Source organism: Homo sapiens, chromosome 10, assembly GCF_000001405.40.
Source record: "Homo sapiens chromosome 10, GRCh38.p14 Primary Assembly".
NCBI classification, from domain to species: domain Eukaryota; kingdom Metazoa; phylum Chordata; class Mammalia; order Primates; family Hominidae; genus Homo; species Homo sapiens.
Window position 1 is genome coordinate 21797350 of NC_000010.11, and position 24022 is coordinate 21821371.

Genomic DNA, 24022 nt, shown 5'->3' on the forward strand with positions numbered 1-24022 from the left:
TTTCTAATATATGTTGAAATCAGGAAATGTGGTATCTCCAGTTTTATTCTTCTTTCTCAAGGTTGTTCTAGATATTGGGGGTCCTTTGTAATTCCATATACACTTCAGGATTGGTTTTTCTAGTTCTGTAAATCAATAATTTTTTTAAACAAAAAAATTTTAAAACAAATGAGTGCTATGGTTTGAATGTGTCTTCCAAAGTTCATTTGTTGGAAACCTAATCCCCAATGCAAAAGTGTTGAGAGGTGGGACCTTTAAGAAGCAATTAGCTCAGGAGGCCTCTGTCCTCATGAATGGGTTAATGACCTTATGGCGGGAGTGGGTTATTGCAGGAGTGAGTTCCTGATAAAAGGATGAGTTCAGCTCCCTTCCTTTCTTTTTCCCTTGTATGTTGTGTGCTCTCTTGTCCTTCTGTGTTCTACAGTGGGATGACGCAGCAAGAAGGCCCTTGCCAGACGTGGGCCCCTTGACTTCTCAGCCTCCAGAATTGTAAGAAATACATCTTAGTTCTTCATAAATTATCCACTCTCAGGTAGTCTGTTACACCAGCACAGAACAAACTCAGATAATGAGGTAGGCCTATATATACTGTCATGAAAAAAATTCAAAGACAAATGTTTTGTTTCTTCACATTTTAAAAAGTCGCTTTTAAAAATCAAGGTCATGCATGTACATAGCTTTTTAACAAAAGCAGTACACAAGGTCTTATGACAGAAAACAATGCACCTTACACACACAGGCAATCATTTCCGCTCACAGTTCTTCTGAAGGTTACAAGGTTACAAGTATACATTGCTAATTAACGTGCCTTTGTATACCACATCCTGCATCTAATCTCTTTCCCACCTCTACCAACAACCTCTAGTCCAAAACCACCATTGTGTTCTGAAAGGACAACTGAAATAGCCTCTTACCTGGCCTTCCTTCCTGCTTTCAAACTTCCCCACCAAACAGTCAGAACAATGCTTTTAGATCACTGCACTCCTTTACTCAGAATCTTCCAGTGCTTTCCCATCTCGCTCAGGGTAAAATCCAAAATTTCCACCTTGGCCAAAAAGGGCCAATATGGCCTGGTCTTCCACTACTTCTCAGACTCATTTCCTGTTATCTCCTTCTCCTACTCATGCCTTAGCCATATGGACCTCCTTGTTGGGCCTTGCAAACCCCAGACATGCTCTTGCCTCCAGGACTTTGTAGGTGCTATTTCCTCTGCCAGCAATGCTCCTTCTCAGACAACCTTGCTCCTTCACTTGCTTTGTACCTCTGCTCAAATACTACCTCTCCGAGAACACTTTCCTCAGAACCCTATTTTAAAATGCAGCTCCATCAGTCTCTATCTGCTTACCCTGCTTTATTTTTCTTCATGTTACTTGTCACTACCCAAGAATTTTCTTTCATTGCATGCATCTGGGTTCTTTCTAGCCTGTTTCTCCACAGCTCCTTAGGGCAACTATCTTTGCTTGCGTGGTTGCAACTTAGTTGCAGGCATATTAGTATTCTAGCTCAGTGGGAGGGAAAAATAAATAAGGGCTCATATGAACACACATTACTTTATGTTCTCCTGAAAAGAAATTAGTGATACAGCCATATCAGAGTTTGGGAGGCTTGGGAATGCAATGTCATTGTGCACATATGTGCCTGACCAACAATCTACTGCTAGAGAAGAAGGAGAGAACTTACTTTGGTGAACAACATGCCACAGTCCTCCACAATGTGTGGATTTTAAAAACTGAAAAATAATCTGTAAAACATATAAAATGTTTAAAATATAAAAAACCATCATGTAAGATATTACATAATTATGACCTGGTAAATATTATTCACCACTGAAACAAGTGCTCTTTCTACCAATCTACTCTGTAGTATAATTAAATTTAAACTATGTCTTTTTACGTGTGGTTTCCATGTTCTTTGTGGAATTTCTGGTTGCTTTTTACTGTTTTTTGTTGTTGTTGTTTTTTTGTTTTGAGACAGGGGCTCACTCTATCACCCAGGCTGGAGTGCAGTGGCATGAACATGACTCATTGCAACCTCGATCTCCTGGGCTCAAGTGATCCTCCTGACTCAGCCTCCCAAATAGCTGGCACACAGGTGTGTGCAACCACACCTGGCTAATTTTTCTTTCCTTTTCTTGTAAAGATGAAGGTTTCCCTATGTCGCCCAGGCTGGTCGCAAACTTCTGGTCCCAGGTGATCCTCCTGTCCCAGCCTATCAAAGTGCTGGGATTACAGGCATTAGTTGCTGCACTTTGCCTTTTTTTTCTTTTCCACATTTTTACATAGGCATTTTTCCAAGTTCTCAGCCATACTATCTATTCTATGAAACCTCCCTCCCTCCCAGGGTCCCTATCATGCCGTCCTTAGTTCTCCTGATTCACCATTTCTTGGATCCCATGTTGTCCTCTTCGATTTATTCCTTTTGTTGCTGGAGTACAACCTCAGGAAAATTTCTAGGAAAGGGTACGAGTTCTCACCCCACGTATTTACCATCACACTTGGTCAGTTCTAGATTCAGAACCATTTCCCCTGAGCACTGTGAAGGCACTGTTCCCTCATCCCACAGAATCTAGTGTTGCTGAGGGACCTGTGTCATTCCAATTTCCTTTACTTTGGAGACATCTTATCCATAGAAAGTTTAAAGATCTGTGTATGCTCAGTGTTCATAAATATCCCCAAGACCTTTTCCATGTCTCCTCCTTGATTTTGAGAGACTCTTACAAAGTTGTTTCAGGTGTCCCCAAATCCTGAAAACTTAACTGTATTATTTACTGAACAATGATCTTGCCCCTGTTTTCTCTGTCCCACACTAGAACCCCTCATCAGACGTGGACCCCTTGTACCAAGTCTCTGTGTTTTCTTTTGCAAGTAACAAAGATCAATACTATAACACTTTTCACTTCATGGGCAATGGTGAAAAATGTAGTGTTTGGTTTTTATGAGAGTATGAGGAAGTGACCTCTCATATACCACTAGTGGGAATGTGTATTGTTATAACCTCTCTGCAGGCCAATTTCAGAGCCCTCAGAGGCTCTAAAAACATTCATATTCTTGAACTAAGCAGCTTCTAGGAATGCAATCTCTAGTTCTAGGCACACAAGCTAATAAAATAGATATGAGTGAAAAGACAATTTTTTAAAACACCATGTCCATCTCAATGAAATAGCAAAAAAAGGAAGCAATTTAAATGTCAACCGATAGGATATTCTTTAATGATATCATGGCAGCATGGGCTATCGTGTAACTCTTTAGAAAAATGATGTGGATCTTATTTATTGCCATGAAAGATGCTCATGTTCTAGAGCTATGTGAAAAGGACAGAAAGTAGATTAATCCTATTAAAATTATACATATCCATACATATACAGAGAAACGCTAAAGTCTCTAGAATGATATACAACGTTTATACATTGTTTATACAATGTTACACAGAAATGTTCACAGAGATCTCTTTAAAATTATGGTTGATTAGAAAAAAATTTAGCTTAAGTGTATTCTTTGATGTTTTCTTTTTGCTATGAACATAGAGTTTTATCAAAAAAGAGTTAATGATATAAATCTCTAGACAAATTTAAAGTATTTTCCATACAAACATCAGTAAAGCAGAATTAACCAGAGGTAAAAACATATAAGTATGGAATCAAAATATGTGATCTTGTCCCAGTTCTACTAACAACTGTGTCACCTTGAACAAATATCTTAACAGCAGTTTACTCAGCTGTAAAATAGGGAAAAATAATGGTTGCCTATCTACTTCACTGTGTCATTATGAAAAAACAAATAAAAGTATATTTAAATGTTTTGAAAAGCGTAAAATACTACAAAAATGAATAATGGAATAATCAATATTATCACCAAAGCAATTGAAAATATAAATGTTGGTTTGCTACAGAATGGGAGAAAATATTTGCATCTGACAAAGGTCTAATATCCAGCATCTATAAGGAGCTTAAATAATCCCATGAAAAAGTGGGCAAAGGACATGAAGAGACACTTTTCAAAAGAAGACATACATGCAGCCAACAAGGATATGAAAAAAAGCTCAATCACTGATCATTAGAGAAATGCAAATCAAAACCATAATGAGATACCATCTCACACCAGTCAGAATGGCTATTACCAAAAAGTCAAAAAATAACAAATGCTGGCAAGGTTGCAGAGAAAAGGAAATGATTATACACTGTAGGTAGGAGTGTAAATTAGTTCAACCATTGTGGAAAGCAGTATGGCGATTCCTCAAAGAGCTAAAAGCAGAACTACCCTTTCTTTGACTCAGCAATCCTATTACTGGACATATACCCAGAGGAATGTAAATCATTCTACCATAAAGACACATGCACGTGAATGTTCACAGCAGCACTATTCACAACAGCAAAGGGATGGAATCAACCGAAATCCCATTAATGATAGATAGTATAAAGAAAATGTGATTATATATACACCACGGAATACTATGCAGCCACAAAAAAGAATGAGCTCATGTCTTTTGTGGGAACATAAATGGAGCTGGAGAGGGTACTATCCTTAGCAAACTAACGCAGGAATAAAAAACCAAATACCACATGTTCTCACTTGTAAGCGGGAGCTAAATGATGAGAACTCATGAACACAAAGAAGGAAACAACAGACACTGGGGCCTGGAGGGTGGGAGGAGGGAGAGGAGCAGAAAAAATAACTATTGGGTAGTAGGCTTAATACCTGGGTGATGAAATAATCTGTACAACCAGCCCCTGTGACACGAGTTTACCTGTATAACAAACCTGCACATGTTTTCTAAAATTTAAATATCTTTAAAAGTTGTAAGGTTGAGAGGGTAAGAGAAGGAAGGGAGAGGAGTATGAGATGTGGCTCAGACCAAGAGAACTACTGTAGCAGGAAACTGGTACAGCGGCAGTGAGGACGAAGGCAGAAAAACCAAAAGGACAGTCCTTATCATGTTTATAATTTTGTGTAGGGCTGGCCTGACTCTAAAAGTAATAACAATATATTTGCCAAGATAATAACTATATATTTAGTTCACTGATAAACCATAATGCTTATTTTCCATGGAACAGTCCACTTACGTGTTTTTGAAACCAGCATAATAACAATATATAAATTTCCCCCAATAGGAATCTCCTTGCAGTTGAGCTATACAAATGAATTGGGAATTTTATGATTTTCCTTCCTCCTCTTCACTTGCATAATGGGCTACATATATAACTACACACCCCTTACCTCACACTATGGCACTAAGCTAATTATAAAAGCCTGTTTAAATCTAGCCACCTGTCTTTTGTTTTGCTGCCTACCTGGGCCTTTTCCAAAGAGGCAGAAAAATCTCCTATCAGTCTGTTATCACAACCAGAATGCAAGAGATTAGTGACCAGGGAGAGAAGCAGAATCAGTTTACATCCTTTCAGGCAAAAGAATAGTATTACTTCACAAGCAAGAAATCTGGGGCCCCCTGACCTTAATTTAGGAAACCTGCAGTTAATCATCATGTTAAAGTTGGTTTTACATGCGAGACAGTTTTTGTTTCCGCTGTTATTTTTACAATTTGAGTGTCCTTTGTGATTACCAAAATTATTTGCTGAAAGGCATATATCAACATTTAAAATATTTAATCCATAATAAAGTAGGCCTTACAGATTAGGTATATCTGAATTAAAATATACTCGGTGTCAATTTTTTAAAAAGCTTAAAAAAATATTGCTTGTGTTTATCCAGAGTACAATTTAGCAATCTAACTCTGCTAATTATGACAATTAATATACTTAATTTCTTTCTTAATTGAGGAATAAAAAGGTTTTTAACTGTAATCCGACAACCCAAATAAAGAATCACATAAATCCCACCACTGGCACACACTCACCTCTCTCCCAAAAGGTCAATTGTTTCTTGAAGGAAAGAGAACTAAGCCTGAAGCTACAAATTTGGCAAGGAAACCCGGTCAAAGAACAGCTGTGCAAAGCCAGGGAGAACTAGGCAGGTGATCAGGTCAGTATGCAGAGGTTCTGATGACACTCAATTGAACCTGGCTACTTTTTCATAATCGAATACTTAATGAAAACAAATCTAATTAACACCATAAGCCAAAAGGAGGCACAAGTGGTCTTTTTAAAGTGTGGTTAACTTTCACTTAACATTATACTAGAGAAACAATACTAGCTGAACCATTTTAGCTGTTTCAATGTAATTTACAAGTCATCCCTGTGAGTTACTGATTCTACAGACACCTGTTCTCTTTTACAGAGTGATTTTCTGTGTGTGTGTGTGTGTGTGTGTGTGTGTGTGTGTATGTATGTGTGTGTGTGTGTGGACATATGCATGTGTTGGGGGACAGGAGAGTTATTGAAATGAATAGTCCAGCCATGGAGATGATGCTTACAGAATGAAAATGCAGTGTGGGTCTATATATATATTGACATAGAAGAAAAGTTATAATGGCATTTTTTTGTACAACAAAAGTTTAGATTTATTACATATTTATTTCCAAGGTACCTTTGTTATTATGAAAACAGAACTAATACTTGGCCAAAAAAAAAAAAAACCCAAAAAACAAAAAAAAAATCACTTCACAATGTCAGGTTTTCCACTTCCATGATAAAGGGAAAAAATATCTATTGCAGACACGGAATCATTCTGCCTTGGGTAAGTCTAGGGAGGAAAAAAAGGAGACATATGGGATGAATTTGCAAAAGTTTAAAAAGATGCTTTTGACAGCACCAAGACTACTCTAGTAAATTAAGTATATACTAGGATCTATGAGGCTTTGTTGGTTATATCCTGTGTATTCTTGGCATTTAAAAAATTTTCATCTTTCTCCTCTTAAAAATACAGATAAAAATTTACCAGGTTTTAATGACAACAAATTAAAATATTGCTTTACTCAGTTTCCTATCTGCCTTTAGCATCAAATGTAGAGCCTTATAGAAATATTATCTTAGAAGTTAAATGTGGTGCAGTCTTCAAAGGAGATAATACATTAGTATTACTATTATTTTTCATTAAGCAATTGAACTAAAAGTTTAGGGCCTTTTTAAACCAATGTTTTATAACTTTAAAAAATTATTTTAGTTTCTTTTGATAATCACTGTATTAATAGCAGCTATGTAATTAGTAGGTCATAGTACTTAAAACATCAAAAACCATGGAATGTCTTTAATTTGGTCAGATATTTACTGATATGTCATTATTAACCTATCTTTTACAAACAACCTTAAAACCGAGATAATAAAACACACCATCCAGTAACATGTTTAGCTGAAGAAAAGTTATCCTTATGGTTCTTTTCTAGTAACTCAAGATAACTAGTCTACTCATGAAACACAGCAAAAAAAAAAAAAAAAAGTTACAAAATACTTCAGCTATTTTCCCCTATGATCAAACTTCAACTCTGAAGCAAAAATATTGCTAAACGTCTTATAAAAATCCAGATTGTAGTCTTTTAAATGACCTATACAGTAGTAACAATATTCATATATATAATTTAAAATTCTCAAAGCAGGTCCATTGCAAAAACAAAACAAAACAATACAAAACTTGACAGTACAGGTCAAGTATACCTAATCCAAAAGTCTGAAATTGCTCAAAAATCTGCAACTTGAGCGCCAACGTGACGGATTAGAGATGCGCAACTGTAATAATTTCTGTACGTTTCTTTCTAAACTAAAAAGTGGAAGTTTATTATTGAAAGTAACTTACAGCATTTATAAGCTCCTTTTGGTAGCCATGTTCAGTAATCATTTTGCAGGTTTTAAAAAACTATCAGTACTATAAAAGGCCTAAAGGTATACTAACAGAATGGAAGGGGAAATTTAAATCTTTGCTTTCAGTAACCCTCTAAGTATTTTTGGATCTATAGGATTTATTTAAAGTAAATTTAGTAAAGCATATTTACTATCCCTCATGAAAATATCAATTTGATAAAAATAATATTTTTTCTCAATTTCAATTAAACATTTACTGTGTATTTAGTATATTACACATCAGGCACTGTGCTAGGTGCTTTCTAAAAAATTTTCTGCTCTAAATTTCCTCAATAAAAGCATCTAAAGCATTAAGTCAAAACCTTTCCAAGTAAGTAATTTATCTTTTAAATGTTACGTATGGACACACACACACACACACACACACACACACACACACAGTTTCTTCTGGTTAAACTACTTATCAAACGAACTGTTGCTATCATCCTTGAAACAAAAAGGCCAACACCATTTGCATTATGGGTATATTGCTCATTTAATTAATCAGAACCACCTGTCTAAATAGCAATCGCAATCTGTACTTCAATGTTAAAAAGATCCAGCTGAAATACAACCCTCCTAATTCTGATCAGTTTGAGAACTATTTTTTCCACAGTTAAAGGGGTCACTATAAACATAAAAACTGGCATTGTTTTCCTTTGATTAGGTTACAGTAGCTTAAGTCTCTAAACACTAGAATTCCTCACACAGCTGTTAACTGTGGACCAGGGGACTGGCTCACATCTGCTTCTCACTTATTGCATTAATGGTTCACTTTCAGGTCCTAAAAGGATTGTTGTATCCCCTCCCCAAAGATACTGTGGAACCCATCTATGTCTGCCTTCTACATAGCTGACTTGTTCTGGTTTCTCTCTCTATACAATGCAAATCTCAGTGAACTCACATCTGTCACAGATCGACCCAATTCGTGGGCAATCTTTTCCCATCGACCTGGAGTCCCTCCTGGGAACTTAACCATACTTCTTGTCAGTTGGCTGAGGTCCTCTTCTGTCCATTCAGGTGCCTGCAAAACATTAAAGAAAATAAAAAAAGATAATTGGGAGAAAATAAAAAGATAATTGGAAGAATAAAAAAAGATAATTGAGAGATAATTGCTGTGAAGCAAATTATTGGCAATATGCTTTCTGTAAAAAACAATACTAAATTGTATCTAATAGTTTCAATAAAGATTTGAGCTGCATATTTAACACTGGAATGCAAAGCTCTAGAAGCCTATTTCATTTCCTACGTATACTAACTAAGAAAGCATAAATATTGCAAAACCAGGTTTTGCAGACATTTTTTAAAAAAGACCATTCAGCTTTGAATTAAAATGAGAAACCATTCTCAAAGCTTATGAAATGCATCCTTGCTATAAAATGCAGTGCTGCTCATAAATGCCTCACATAAAGTTACTATTAAAGGGCTCTCTCTTTTTTTTTTTAAACACACACTTTAAAGAAAGCAAAAATAAAAATAAAAAACTTACAAGTATAAATGAAATGTGAACAAGTAAATATACTGGTCTGAAATCAGAACTGCAATGACACTTTATGATCATTCTATGTAACGATATTCAATTTTAAAATAATATTTTTTCAAGAAGTTTAGCTTGTCAAATGTCACTCTTTTTTTTTTTTAAACTTCGGAACAGAAATAAAATTAGAAACTCTTGTGGCCAAGACTCAAACCATCAAGTCCATGTAAAGCAGCATTTCATTTTATTTTGACCATTTCATTTTGGTCAACTTTTAGCTTTGACTAAATGATTAAACTAAATTTAAAAATACCTTAGAGATTATAAACACGCATATGCAAAAAGTCTAACAGCAAGCATATTCTCTGCATTTTTCTCAGCACTAGCAGTAGTCAAACCCCAAAGTGAGCACAGAGAAATAAATTATTATCAAACAACAAATAACCACGTTACAATTATTTCACATTACACTTTAGTACTGAACTATTCTCCACCAGAGGCAATAAAGCACTCTGGTATTAAACAATACTCCAGTAGCCAGCATAGAGACTGAGGAAGCCTACCTTATTTTCCTTTAATTAAAATGAAAGAATAAAGAAAAAGAAAGAGGGAAAGAAGGAAACCTTTGAGGCAAATACCTTTTCTAATCACCATTTCCGATAATGAACAGGCATACATCAGGCAGTTTGCATTACAGAACCATCAGCACAGAACAACAGTCAGAGGTGAGTGACCCCAGGGACTATCTCCACAGCTACAGCAAAGCTTCTCCCTGACACTAATCCTCCCTGTCATTCTCCCACTGTGCTCTAACCACACTGACATCCGCCTGCCTCACTGCAAGCTTAACGGGGCCCTTCCTGACTTTTTACTGTCTCCCCCAATCAATGGTTCAAGCGTGCTCTTTTCACCATGTCCAAATGGCAGCTTCACTCATAATCAAAGTGCATTGCCCCTGTTAAAGGGCTTTCCGAAAGGCTCTCCCATTTGCATTCATTTGCAAAGCAAACTACTTTTATTCACTTTGTTCTGCTATCAAGAATGTTCGCTGAAGCAGATAAATTGGCATAAATACAACCTGCCACTTAAGAGTCAGTAAATAATAGCCAATAGTAGGGAGGATTTTATCAATCATTCTATTTTGTATCCACTAAGAGCTGAAAGCCTCAAACATATTCATCAGTACAGCCTCTACAATACATGCATAAATTCACTTATATAAAAAGGTAGCCCACATTGGGTCTGGTCGGAATTTCTTTGATATTTAATGAATATCAGAAATCCAATTCTTCATATCAGATGACTTAAAAATTTACACGGAGGGTTTTTTCTTTCTCCTTGTCTTTATTTAAGGAAAAAAGAATTATTCTTATTCAGCTACAATTTAGAGAAATATAATTGGATTTTCAACAAAATCATAGTTTTATTGCTAAAAAGCTTTAATAAGTAGACCAATCGGTTTCAGAAATGCAAAAGACTTAAGTTTTAGGCAGAATTTAAATAAGCTTACAGTAAAAGATCATGTCATGAAGAGCTTGAAGTTGATCATTGCATAAAGATATATACTGATCAAACCATACAGTATGTACGAAATCACACTAAATCAAATTACCTAATTTCTATGTTATTTTAACATTTTTGGAGCAAAAAAATTGTCTACAATGTCTAAAATATAAATCATTGTTTCAGGTAGTAAACTAAGTCTTTAAAATAATTTCTATTTTTAACAGATCAACTTCCCAAATACTCTGCATACATAAACATTGACATTAAAAACAAATCTGATTTTAATTAGATTAATGAGTGTGTAAAAGCATAGTAGTTTTCTGAAAAATAAAAATTTTATATAAAGTATTTGGATTGAATTCCTGAAAAATCACCTACTGCTATGACAGTCTTAAGTTTCATAGTTATTTTATGGCCATAATTTTTATTATTAATATTTTTAAAGAGGCTCGATAGTGACTAGGGCCATAATCTGAAATCTGAGAGAACCCTTTTAGCAATGCATTATTCTCCCTCCTACAGCTGTAAGGCACTTTGGTGAATGTGTAATTCCTCGGCAATAGTTAGTTGTGTCTTTAGAAGCAACAGAGCCTCCTGTGATCCAGCTACTACAGCAGCCATGAGGGTGGCCATGGTGTGAATGTACTCTCCCTCTTCTAATCTGGAGCCAACTGTAGCTGTGAAAGTCAAATGAATGCATAAGCATACTGCTTTGCCACTTAAAACCATGTGTGTCCAATCTTACCGAAACACCGGGCCAAATATTCATCTCTACAGTAAAGTAATGGAAGATACCACATGGTGTGGAGACAGCTGTTGTGACTATACAAGCACTCCAATTTTGCATCAGAAAAGCCCATTCTGGGAATAAATCTCCATACTGAATACAAAATAAAAAGTTTTCAAATTATTAAATATTGTAATGTAATGACCTCAAAATATAGCAACCAAAGTAAGAACTGATATGAAAACTTAAATTATATTCCCAAATCATGTACCTTTGGGATGGATTTTTGCCATAAAACCCACTATGTTCAAAGATTTGGTGTCTCTGAAAATCCTCTATATTCTTGGGGTAGGGCTGTATTTTTAAAGTAATCTATATGGACTTTTCCTCTCACAGCTTTGGACTATAAAATGTTAATTAGAAAGCATCATATAATTTATTTGGCACTAAAAATTATGGCCAAATTAAAAAAAATTTTTAATGTACTTGTTTATTGTATTTTTATACTTTAATGACAAAAGGCTCATTTCTATCTAATAAATAGATACTGAAACTCTCTAATGAGCAATACTTCTATTGAAATGACCTATTAATAATAATTATTTATATAAATACAGAAGCTAAAATTTTGGATTCAACTATTTTTATTAGATTCAGCTCAACTCATAAATTCTCAGAAATTTTATCCAAGAAAATAACATTCTTACATCGCATTGCCCAGTTAATATATAACACATTATTATACATAATAATATAACATATTATTAGATATACATAACACATTAGATATACATAACACATTATTAGATATATATACACATATTAGATGTATATATCTAATATGTATTAGATGGGATGGGATGAGATTGGATGTCTAATAATCTAATTATCTCTTACCCTCAAGTTCTATAAACACTTTTAGTGCATTTAATTTAGTGCACAGTTTTCAGCTATATAATTTTCCTTTCCTATTTAAAAATGGAGGCATGCCCTTGACAAATATATATAAATACATGGTATAAAAACAACAACAAAATTAAAAACTAAATAACCTCAAATGTCTTTTTACTCTTAGGAAGAGAAATTCTTTTTTGAGGCCTATCTTCCTGACTTGCAGTTGGCTGCCTTCTTGCTCAGTCTTCACATGGCCTTTCATGTGTGTGTGTATGTGTGTGGCGGGGTGGGGGGAATGGGGGAGTCTGTTGTCTCTCTTCCTCTTCTTTTAAGAATACCAATACTATCGATTTAGGGCCCCACCCTTCCGACTTCATTAGCCTTAATTATCTCCTTACAGGCCCTAGCTTTAAATACAGTCACATTGGGAGTTAGGGCTTCAACATGTGAATTTGGGGGCACACAATTCCGTTCAGAATAGGCAGGACACAAAAAAACAAAAACTAAAACAGAAGTCCACAATTTGGCCCAACTGGTTTTTCAAAATTCACTGAATTTATACAATACATAGATAAAAGGGCAGGAATTGGCTTTTGTCCCTCTATGACACTGGCTCTGAATTAACATCTACTGAAATATACCAATTGGCAAACCTTTGTGCCCTTAATCAATATTGGCGATCCTCCTAAATTTAAACAAGGGTCCCCCTATAATCTTAGGGGAGTTATTGAACATAATATAAAGGACAAGTATGCATGCCTCGCCCTAACCACAGGAATTCTGTCTTGCCTTAATTCCCTATGGTCATCACACCCATTGTTCTAAAATATCCCATAGTGGTCATGGACACTCTGACCCAAAGAGTCATGAATTAATTTTAAGTCTTTGGCACTAACAAATTGCCTTTTTAAAATGGACCCCATGGACGTACTGCTTCCCCATGAAAACAGTTAATACAGCCAGATGTAAATTAAAACAGGGCCTTTAATGATTAAAACCCACTATACAAGACCTATTTAGAAAAGGGGTGATTATCCCCACTGCCTGTCCATTTAACAGCCCAATTTGACCAGCTTTTCCACTTGGGAGGAATGTATGGTGCCTCCTGGTGGATTACTTCAACCTCAATGCTGTGGACTTCACTAAGGACCCATACCCAATATAACTGAAATTACTGACTTCATCTAACCAGCAACTGGTAAATATTTTGGTATTATAGATTTGGTGAATATGTTTTGTTCAGTGCCTATTTCAACACTCTTGACTGCAGTTTGCCTCCAAAGGGACCCAATACAGTTTTACCCAGCTACCACGGGGTACTTTAAACAGCCTCACTGTAACATACAATCTTCGAGGGCAAGATTGAAACTGCACCCTACTTTCCCCAGGAATGCAGGTATGACATCACACTGATGACCTCCTCCGCTGAGGAGATTCCTTTGATACACTCACTCGGGACATACAAATGAAAGGAGCTCACGGGGTGACCCACCGCCTTACACACAGAGCAAGGCCTTGGTTGTATTTCTGAACATTATTGGGTAAACTGAAGGCAACTCCATCCATGACACTGTCAAGAAACAGCTATTGACTCTCATAGCACCCACAGTTTCTTTTAGGCTCTTTTGGGTTCTGGAGGAAACATACTTCTCATTACAAATTGTATTAAGCCCATATATGTTGTTACTTGCGAAATGACTCACCTTGAATGGGGCCCCTTTTAAGCAAAGGTTCTGGAATCTGTCCAAATTGCAAAACAACTGACACCCCTGCGTGTCTCCCACAGACTCCTTAACTGCAGAGGATTTAGCAGTCTCCTATCAGTGTGAGAGTTGTGTGCAAGTAATGACTTGAAATGGTAAAACCACAAATATTTGGATTTTGCCAAAATTAAACTTTTAGTCTTTTAAAGAAACTATTTTTAAAAATGAAAAGGAAGACCACAAACTAGCAGCAAATATTCTCAACACATATCAGAAGAAAGATCTGTATCCCAATCTGTCTATCCATTCTCCTATTAATGGATATTTGGGTTGCTGCTAGCTTTCATTCATAAGGCTAGTTTATGAATGAATAGAGCTGCTATGGATATTGTGTAAAACTCTCTCAGTGGTCATGTTTTAATTTCTCACATATAAATACAGAGGGGTGGAATTGCTAAGGTCATTGGGAAAACGTACGTCTAACTTCGTAAGAAACTACAGGAGTATTTTTCCAAAGAGGTGCTATTTTACAGTCTACCCAGCAATGCATGAGCATTCTTGTTGTTCCACATCCTTACCAACACTTGACATGGTCAGTTGTTTTAATTTTGACCATTCTGGTGGGACTGAAATATATCTTACTGTGGTAATAATTTGCATTTCCCAGATGACAAATGATTTTTTTTTTTTTTTTGAGATGGAGTCTCACCCTATTGCCCAGGCTAGAGTGCAACAGTGCAATCTTGGCTCACTGCAACCTCTGCCTCCCAAATTCAAACAAGTCTCCTGCCTCAGCCTCCCGAGTAACTGGGATTACAGGTGCCCGCCACCACGCCCAGCTAATTTTTGTATTTTTGGTAGAGACGGGGTTTCACCATGTTGACCAGGCTGGTCTTGAACTCCTGACCTCGTGATCTGCCTGCCTCAGCCTCCCAAAGTGCTGGGATTACAGGTGTGAGCCACTGCGCCCAGCCAGACAAATGATCTTGAATATCTTCACATGTGCTTACTGGCCAAGTGAATGCTTTCTTGAAGTACGTGTTCATGTCTTTTGACCATTTGTTAATTGGTTGTCTTCTTATTAGTTTTAAGATTTTTTTATATTTTGTAGATACTAGATCTTTGTCAGATATAAGTATTACCAAATATTTTCTTCTGGTCTATAATCTATATTTTCTTTTTTAATAGATTTTTTCCTTTTTAGAGACAGAGCCTTGCTCTGTTGCCCAGGCTGGAGCACAGTGGCACAATAAGGCTCAATGCAGCCTTGAAATCCTGGGCTCAAGTGATCCTCCCGCCTTGGCCTCCGCAGACATGAGCCACCACTCCTGGACCTTATATTTTCATTTAAAATTCTTTAACTTTTACTTTGAAATAGCTTTAGGTTTATAGAAAGTTTTAGAAAATAGTACAGAGTTCCCATATACTCTTTATTCAGCAAACTATGGTGTTAACTATACAGCCATTGTGATAACAAGTCAGCCTCCAAGGTGTTCCTCAGTGATTCCCACTTCCTAGTATTAATGCCCTTGTGCAGTCTCCTTCCACAGTGGCTAGGGCTGACATGTAAAACCAATAGGATACTGTGGAAGGGATAGGGTGTGTTTTCCAAGGATAAATGATAAAAGACATATACACACACATACACACACACACACACACACACACACATATATATACATATATACATATATATACATATATACACACACACATATATATATATATATATATACAGCTTCTGCCTTGCTCTTTCTTGGGTTACTTGTCTCTCTCTCTCTCTCTCTCTCTCCCTCTCTCTCTCTCTCTCTCTCTCTCTCTCTCTCTCTCTCTCTCTCTATATATATATATATATATATATACACATACAGCTTCTGCCTTGCTCTTTCTTGGGTTACTTGTCTCTAGGGGAAGCCAACTGCCAAACAGTGAGGCCGCTCAAGCGGCCCAATGGATAGGCAGTAATAGGAAAGGACATTGTCTCCCTCAAGGTCAAAGGGCAAACAGTCTTTTTTTTTTTTTTTGAGACGGAGTCTCACTCTGTCGCCCAGGCTGGAGTGTGGAGTGCAGTAGCGCAATTTCAGCTCACTGCAAGCTCTGCCTCCCGGGTTCACACCATTCTCCTGCCTCAGCCTCCCGAGTAGCTGGGACTACAGGCGCCCACCATCACGCCCAGCTAATTTTTTTTGTATTTTTAGTAGAGATGGTGTTTCACCGTGTTAGCCAGGATGGTCTCGATCTCCTGACCACCTGCCTTGGCCTCCCAAAGTGCTGGGATTACAGGCGTGAGCCACTGCGCCCAGCCAGGGCAAACATTCTTATTGTCCAGTATAGTGAAGATATTGCCTCCTCAGAGGAATGGGTAGCCATGTTTATTGCCTGTTGTAAAAAATTTGAGTTACCTAAGTTCAGGATTCCCCATCTGTAATACACCGCACTGGTTGTTTAGGAGTCAGTTGGCCCTCTTACTCTGTGGGAACTAAGCTCAGAGAACAAGCAGAAAAATGCTGATACTCTAGCTACTGCTGCTGCTGTGAGTAATAAACTGCCCTTTGTCTCTGACCCAGGAGTCTCATGTCTTCTACCAGCATTCATGAAACTGTAGCAGGCTACCTTATTTGCTCACAAGTAAGGTAAAATCTCAAACTCTTTACAGTTTTTGACAGTTTTGGTGATGAGGATGGGATTCTCACAGACTCTTCCTCTTTCTGAATGAGGGCCTTGTAGAGATTTGCAGAAGTTACTGGGCACCTACAGCGAACATGCTAATTAAGTTATATTGTCGGTTGGGCAGCAAATGTCACTTCCTTTTACTGTCTATTAATAAGGAAGAATTGTGGAAGTGGCTGCATGCTGAATACCAGGAAATAGGTTCAAACACAGCTGCTATAAAGGCATCCTTATTGTTCCTAAATCTCTTCCAGGTTAGGGGACTTCCTTGCCATCCTGTTTGGTCAGCCTCAGGTCTGTACCACTGTAACAAGTACTAAGTAACAGTACTAAGATTCATTTTGTGTAGCCATAAAGTCTACTCCCTTTCAGAAAACAATTAGAGATACACACTCATAATGAGCATGAAAAGAGAAATTCATGAGCACAAACCAGGCCAATCATTAGAACAATGGCTGGTTCACTTGGGAGATAAGGGGGCAGGGTGTGTAATGCTTCTTAGGGAAGAATGGGATCAGGTGGGTTGTCTTACAGTACAACCTCTTCTGTAGTCTATTATGCCAACCTTAAATCCATTTGGAAATGACAGCAAAATGTCTCAAAGTGGGTCCTGGGTGCTTTCATCCTTTCAGGGAGATCTCGCAGAGAAAGATACACTCTTGTATTATAGGAAACCAAGGACGACGACTTGAAGAGTATTCAGGCTCTTACTGCCCTGGATTGGATTTATTAATAGAATGCTAAATCCAGTGAAAGTGGAACAAAAGTAACCTCACAGAAAATGAGAAAGTAACTCAAAGAAATGTACGTAAATCTATGCAGTCAGCCCTGCCACTCTGGAAAACTCCTCTAGCCCTTATGTTGAAATTTAGGATTTAAGAGATTTTATCTCAGTAATGGGAAAGCAGATGCTCTGGATTAAGGTAGACTCACCAAAGGTCACACTGCTAGCTTGAGTCAGGCAGAGGGGCAAACTCCACGACCTCAGCTAGAAAGCACTGTGGCTAGGGCACTGTGTCAAAGAGCTCTCAAGATTGAAACAGATGGCGCCAGACATGAGGACCTTCTTGCCATCTCATATAAATCATGGGTAGCCAAAAACATTAAGCCACAAGCCACAGTACTGTGCTGCTCAGAACTAAAAACAATGTTAAGCCTTGTTTAATGGCATGGAGCCACTATAGCTCCCTGACTATTTGAACTGATCCATGACACCATCCTACCATGGTAGTAGAAGTCATTCAGGTAAGCCTGAACTCTCTGCCGGGGGTTGTTCTTGATGATCAAACTGCAATAGATGTCCTCCTTGTGGGCCAAGGTGGAATCTGTACAATCGCTAATGCATCCTGTTACACCTGAGGTTTGGGGAGCTGGCAGAAACATACTGATATTCTGATAACTGCTATTGCTATCAGTAATAAACTGTCCTCTATCTCTGACACAGGAGTTTTAAGTTTTCTACCAGCAGTATCTATGAAACTAGGGAAGGCTTAGTCCATATATAGCATGAAACAAACTTCACACTTGTTGGCAATATATGCCTTTTCATTTCCTTAATGGTGTCTTTTGAAGAGCAGAAGCTTTTCATTTTCATAAAGTTCAATGTATCTATTTCTCTATTTTTTTATGGTTAGTGATTAGAGTATCCTAAGAAATCTTTGCCTATCTCAAGGATGAGGCAGAGGTCAAGGTTCATTTTCTTTTTTTTTTTGAGACGGAGTTTCCCTCTGTTGCACAGGCTGGAGGGCAGTGGTGTGAACTTGGCGCACTACAACCTCTGCCTCCCAGGTTCAAGCGATTCTCCTGCCTCAGCCTCCCGAGTAGCTGGGATCACAGGCCCGCCACCACGTCTGGCTAATTTTTGTATTTTTAGTAGAGATGGGGTTTCACCATGTTGGCCAGGCTGGTCTCGAACTCCTGACCTCAAGTGATCCGCCTGTATCGGCCTCCCAAAGTGCTGGGATTACAGGCATGAGCCACCGCGCCCAGCCTTCAAGTTTCATTTTCTATTATATGGATATCCAGTTGTTCCAATACCCTATCCTAGATGGGCACCTGTAATCCCAGCACTTTGGTGGGCTGAGGCGGGGGGATCACCTGAGGTCAGGAGTTTGAGACCAGCCTGGCCAACATGGTGAAACCCTGTCTCTACTAAAAACACAAAAATTAGGCAGACGTGAGCCTGTAATCCCAGCTACTTGGGTGACTGAGGCAGGAGAATTGCTGGAACCAAAGAGGAGGAGGTTGTAATGAGCCAAGATCGTGCCACTGCGCTCCAGCCTGGCCGACAGAGCAAGACTTCTAGAAAGAAAGAAATGACTATCCTTTTTCCTTTTGGATTGCCTTGACACTACTGTCAAAAATCAATTGACCAGCTGGGTGCAGTGGCTCATGCCTGTGATCCCAGCACTTTGGGAGGCCATGGCAAGAGATTCACTTGAGCACAGGAGCTCGAGACCAGCCTGGGCAGCAAAGAGACACTGTCTCTCTCTCTTTTTTTTTTTTTTTTTTGAGACGGAGACTCGCTCTGTCACCCAGGCTGGAGTGCAGTGGTGCGATCTCCGCTCACTGAAAGCTCCGCCTCCCGGGTTCACGCCATTCTCCTGCCTCAGGCTCCCGAGTAGCTGGAACTACAGGCGCCACCCACCATGACCAGCTAATTTTTTGTATTTTTAGTAGAGACGGGGTTTCACCGTGTTAACAAGGATGGTCTCGATCTCCTGACCTCGTGATCCACCCGCCTTGGCCTCCCAAAGTGCTGGGATTACAGGCATAAGCCACCACGCCCGGCCGAGACTCTGTCTCTTAAAAAAAAAAAAATGCCGGGCGCGGTGGCTCACGCCTGTAACCCCAGCACTTTGGGAGGCCGAGGTGGGTGGATCACAAGGTCAGGAGATCAAGACCATCCTGGCTAACACAGTGAAACCCCGTCTCTACTAAAAATACAAAAAAAAAAAATTAGCCGGGCGTGGTGGCGGGTGCCTGTAGTCCCAGCTACTCAGGAGGCTGAGGCAGGAGAATGGCCTGAACCCGGGAGGTGGAGCTTGCAGTGAGCTGAGATCGCGCCACTGCACTCCAGCATGGGCTACAGAGCGAGATTCCGTCTCAAAAAAAAAAAAAAAAAAAAAAAATCAATAGACTATGTGTACATCTGTTTGAGGACCTTCTTTCAGCACCTACTTTTCTTACCTGTAAGAAAAACATGGTGATATGCTAAAATTTGTTTAAGATGCTCATCACAGCAGTTTTTGTAATAAAGTTATTTTAAATTACACATAAATGTTTACATTTATTTAAATCTTTGTCCTTAAATATACTACGAACACTCTGACCACATGAGAAAGTCCTATCATGACTTGTAGTCCTTGTATTTTTTTTCCCCTCATTTTTTATTTTTAGCTTCATGTTTCCAGTGCTCTATAAAAGTTACGTTCTGTCTTGCTGGTCCTGAAACAATAACACTATCATCAACTTTAAGATTAGGAAACCAGCAAAAAAAGATGTAATGATTTTCTTAAGACCTCCTAGGAAGTTCATACAAGAGCCAAATTAAAATTCAAAGCTCTTAATGAAAAAAAATGTATTCTGCAAAAAAATTTAAGAATAAATGTTGCAGGAAGTCAGGAACCCCAAACAGAGGGACTGGCTGAACCCATGGCAGAAGAACGTGGATTGTGAAGATTTCATGGACATTTATTAGTTCCCCAAATTAATACTTTTATAATTTCTTATGCCTGTCTTTACGGCAATCTCTGAACATAAATTGTGAAGATTTCATGGACACTTATCACTTCCCCAATCAATACCCTTGTGATTTTCTATGCCTGTCTTTAATCTCTTAACCCCGTCATTTTCGTAAGCTGAGGAGGATGTATGTCACCTCAGGACCATGTGATGATTGCGTTAACTGCACAAATTGTTTGTAGAGCATGTGTATTTGAACAATATGAAATCTGGGCACCTTGAAAAAAGAACAGGATAACAGCAATGTTCAGGGAACAAGAGAGATAACCTTAAACTCTGACCGCTGGTGAGCCGGGCGGAACAGAGCCATATTTCTCTTCTTTCAAAAGCAAATGGGAGAAATATTGCTGAATTCTTTTTCTCAGCAAGGAACGTCCCTGAGAAAGAGAATGTGTCCCTGTGGGCCTCTAAAATGGCCCCCTTAGGTGCAGCTGTCTTTTATGGTCTAGCTGTAGGGATGAAATAAGCCCCAGTCTCCCATAGCGCTCCCAGGCTTATCAGGACAAGGAAATTCCCGCCTAATAAATTTTTGGTCAGACCAGTTGTCTGCTCTCAAACCCTGTCTCCTAATAAGATGTTATCAATGACAAAGCATGCCGAAACTTCATTAGCAATTTTAATTTTGCCCCAGTCCTGTGGTCCTGTGATCTCGCCCTGCCTCCATTTGCCTTGTGATATTCTATTACCTTGTGAAGCACATGACCTCTGTGACCCACACCCTTTTCGTATGCTCCCTCCCCTTTTGAAAATCACTAATAAAAATTTGCTGGTTTTGCAGCTTGTGGGGCATCACGGAAACTGCCGACATGTGATGTCTCCCCTGGACACCCAGCTTTACACTTTGTACTCTGTCCCTTTATTTCTCAACCTGGCCGACGCTTAGGAAAAATAGAAAAGAACCTACATGACTATCAGGGGCAGGTTCCCCGATAAAGAAAGAAATGAGTAAGACCCAACTTTTGCCATACTATTCAAAAAGATTCAAAATGATTTATTTTGAAAATGAGCACTGCTAAATCTATGCTAGAAAATCTCTGTGCAGTCATTATTTACTTATTTTCTGCTGTTTTTTAAATACTGAAAGGTAGAAAAAAGTCTTACATAAGATTATATTACAATTCACTGTCTGAAACCTTGTTTTTAGAAAAATGCAGAAGAGTAAATTGAAGGAAACCAAAGTTAGATGCATCACTATTATACTACTTGGGATAAAGCAAAATCGTATTTAAGGACTAACATGACACTAATAGAAAGACTTTACAATGTGACACTAGCTTTAAGACCTGATGAAAAGCAATAAAAGTTTGGTTTTAAAAAAGGTTTGGGCCAGGCGCGGTGGCTCATGCCTGTTAATACCAGCATCTTGGGAGGCCAAGGCAGGTGATCACGAGGTCAAGAGATCAAGACCACCCTGGCTAACATGGTGAAACCCCATCTCTACTAAAAATACAAAAATTAGCTGGGCATGGTGGCGTGCATCTGTAGTCCCAGCTACCTGGGAAGCTGAGGCAGGAAAATCACCTGAACCCAGGAGGCAGAGGTTGCAGTGAGCCGAGATCACGCCACTGCACTCCATCCTGGGTGACAAAAGGGAAACTCCGTCTCAAAAAAAAAAAGTTTTGGAGGACATGCAGTAGTCTACTAGCTTGTTGGTCACGCTTTGAAATTCAAAATTTTAAAATGTATTGCTTTACCACTGATATAATTTAAATTATAGAAGCTTAGAATCACAGAACATGTGAGGTGGCCTTTAGAAGTTATTTAATCTCTTAATTTGGGGCATGGTCACATTTTGTGCATTTGATATTGATTTTTAAAATTTTTTTATTGAGATCTAATTAGCATACCATAGGCCAGGCACAGTGGCTCACACCTGTAATCCCAGCACTTTGGGAGGCTGAGGCGGGTAGATCACCTGAGGTCAGGAGTTCAAGACCAGCCTGGCCAACATGGTGAAACACCATCTCTACCAAAAATACAAAAATTAGCAGGGCATGGTGGCACATGCTTGTAATCCCAGCTACTCTGGAGGCTGAGGCAAGAGAATCGCTTGAGCCCAGGAGGCAGAGGTTGTAGCGAGCTGAGATCACGCCACTGCACTCCAGCCTGGGCAATGGAGCAAGACTCTGTCTCAAATAAAACAAACAAAAAAAGAAATTAACTAGCACACCATAAATTCACCTATTTAAAGTGTATAATTCAATGCTTTTTAGTATATTCATAAAGTCATGCACAATTTTGAAGCATTTTCATCATTCTGAATAGATACTTCTTATCCTTTAGCAGTCACCTTTAATTTGTCCTAACTGCTTCAGTCCCTAGGCAACCACTAATTTACTTTCTGTCTCTATAGATTTCCCTATTCTGGGCATTTCATAAAAATGGAATCATATAATATGTAGTCTTTTACTTAGCATAATGTTTTCAAGGTCCATGTAGTAGCATATATCAGTACTTCATTTCTTTTTACTGCTGAAAAATATTCTATGTCTGGGGGGGATATGCCACATTTTGTCTGTGTTATCCATCTGATGGACATTTGGGTTGTTTCTACTTTTTGATTATTAAAAATAATGCTGCTATAAACAAACCTGCAGGTTTCTATGTAGACGTATGTTTTATCTCTCTTGGGTATACACCTGGGAAAACTTTCAAACTGTGTTTTTCCTCCACTTTCACACAAACACAAAAACAATAAATACAAAAGGCTTCTGTGACCCACAACATGTGGGGATTTCTCTTAACAGCAAGCAAGCAATCAATTCTACAGAAGACACCACCTGGGTGTCTGCCAATTCAATTCTGACCCTATCTACCTGGAGACAGTGTCAGATCCCACAGGACTCTGGGCCCAGTCCCCAGGAGTTCCCCCCAGACCCTCCAACCCGATGGAAGCCTGGGCCTCCAGAACTTCTGACCAACTGGTTTCAAGTTGGGGTTCCCATGACCCCCTCTTTGGGTTCAAATAACTTGATGGAGTGGCTCACACAACCCAGGGAAATATGTTTTACTGGTTTACTTAAAAGATATTACAAAAGATACAGGTGAAAAGACGTTTAGAGTGAGGGATGGGTGAAGGGGTGCAGAGCTTCCATATCATTTCTGGGCACGCCACCCTCCAGGAACCTCCACACGTTCAGCTATCCTGAAGCCCTCTGAACCCTGTCCTTGTGGGTTTTTATGGAGGCCTCATTATGTAGGCAAGATTGACAATCATGCAAAAATGGGATTAGATAAAAAGATCTTATACTAATAGACTGAGTAGGGAAACCCAGCCAGGCCTGTCTGTTCAGAATCTTCTTGGTCTCTCTGTGCAGCATTCCTTCCTCCAGAGTATGGGGCAAAACCTTCTCTGGAATGACGGTCTTATGACCCACTATCAGACTGAGTCCTGCTTTGGGCAGGTGAAAGGAGGGCAGGAGGTCAGAGAGAGAGAGATTCTGTTTCCTCAGGCCTGCTCTTGCCTTCAATATTGTAACAAAGGAATGTAACAACATCTATGTGAGTTATGAGCCAGGAATTGTAGAAAAAAATGCAATATATACAGTGGTATATAGTTTTACTAAAATTACATT

General features: G+C 38.6%; 1 protein-coding gene across 2 annotated transcripts in view, besides 2 other annotated features; it reads right to left on the reverse strand.

Annotated features, from left to right (window-relative positions):
- Positions 1-24022, reverse strand: part of DNAJC1 (DnaJ heat shock protein family (Hsp40) member C1) — a 247183-nt gene that overhangs the window by 40802 nt on the left and 182359 nt on the right. Inside the window, exons 9-10 of one of the 2 annotated variants that reach the window (XM_011519614.4) lie at positions 8631-8750; positions 6428-6635 (exon numbers count right to left, since the gene is read on the reverse strand). In XM_011519614.4, coding sequence (XP_011517916.1) covers positions 6549-6635; positions 8631-8750 — 207 coding nt within the window. In that variant the 3' untranslated portion in view covers positions 6428-6548. Of the gene's footprint in view, positions 1-6427; positions 6636-8630; positions 8751-24022 lie in introns of those variants that run through there. The other variant, NM_022365.4, reaches the window with a different exon arrangement.
- Positions 9851-10145: an enhancer, noted in NCBI's record as "tiled region #11860; K562 Activating DNase matched - State 1:Tss". NCBI's record gives its function as "activates a minimal TATA promoter and a strong SV40 promoter by Sharpr-MPRA in K562 cells {active_cell/tissue: K562}" and the evidence as "EXISTENCE:reporter gene assay evidence [ECO:0000049][PMID:27701403]".
- Positions 13073-14272: an enhancer, noted in NCBI's record as "P300/CBP strongly-dependent group 1 enhancer chr10:22099351-22100550 (GRCh37/hg19 assembly coordinates)". NCBI's record gives its function as "activates an origin of replication core promoter dependent on BRD2, BRD4, P300/CBP, MED14 and CDK7 cofactors, with strong dependence on P300/CBP, by STARR-seq in HCT116 cells {active_cell/tissue: HCT116}" and the evidence as "EXISTENCE:reporter gene assay evidence [ECO:0000049][PMID:35650434]".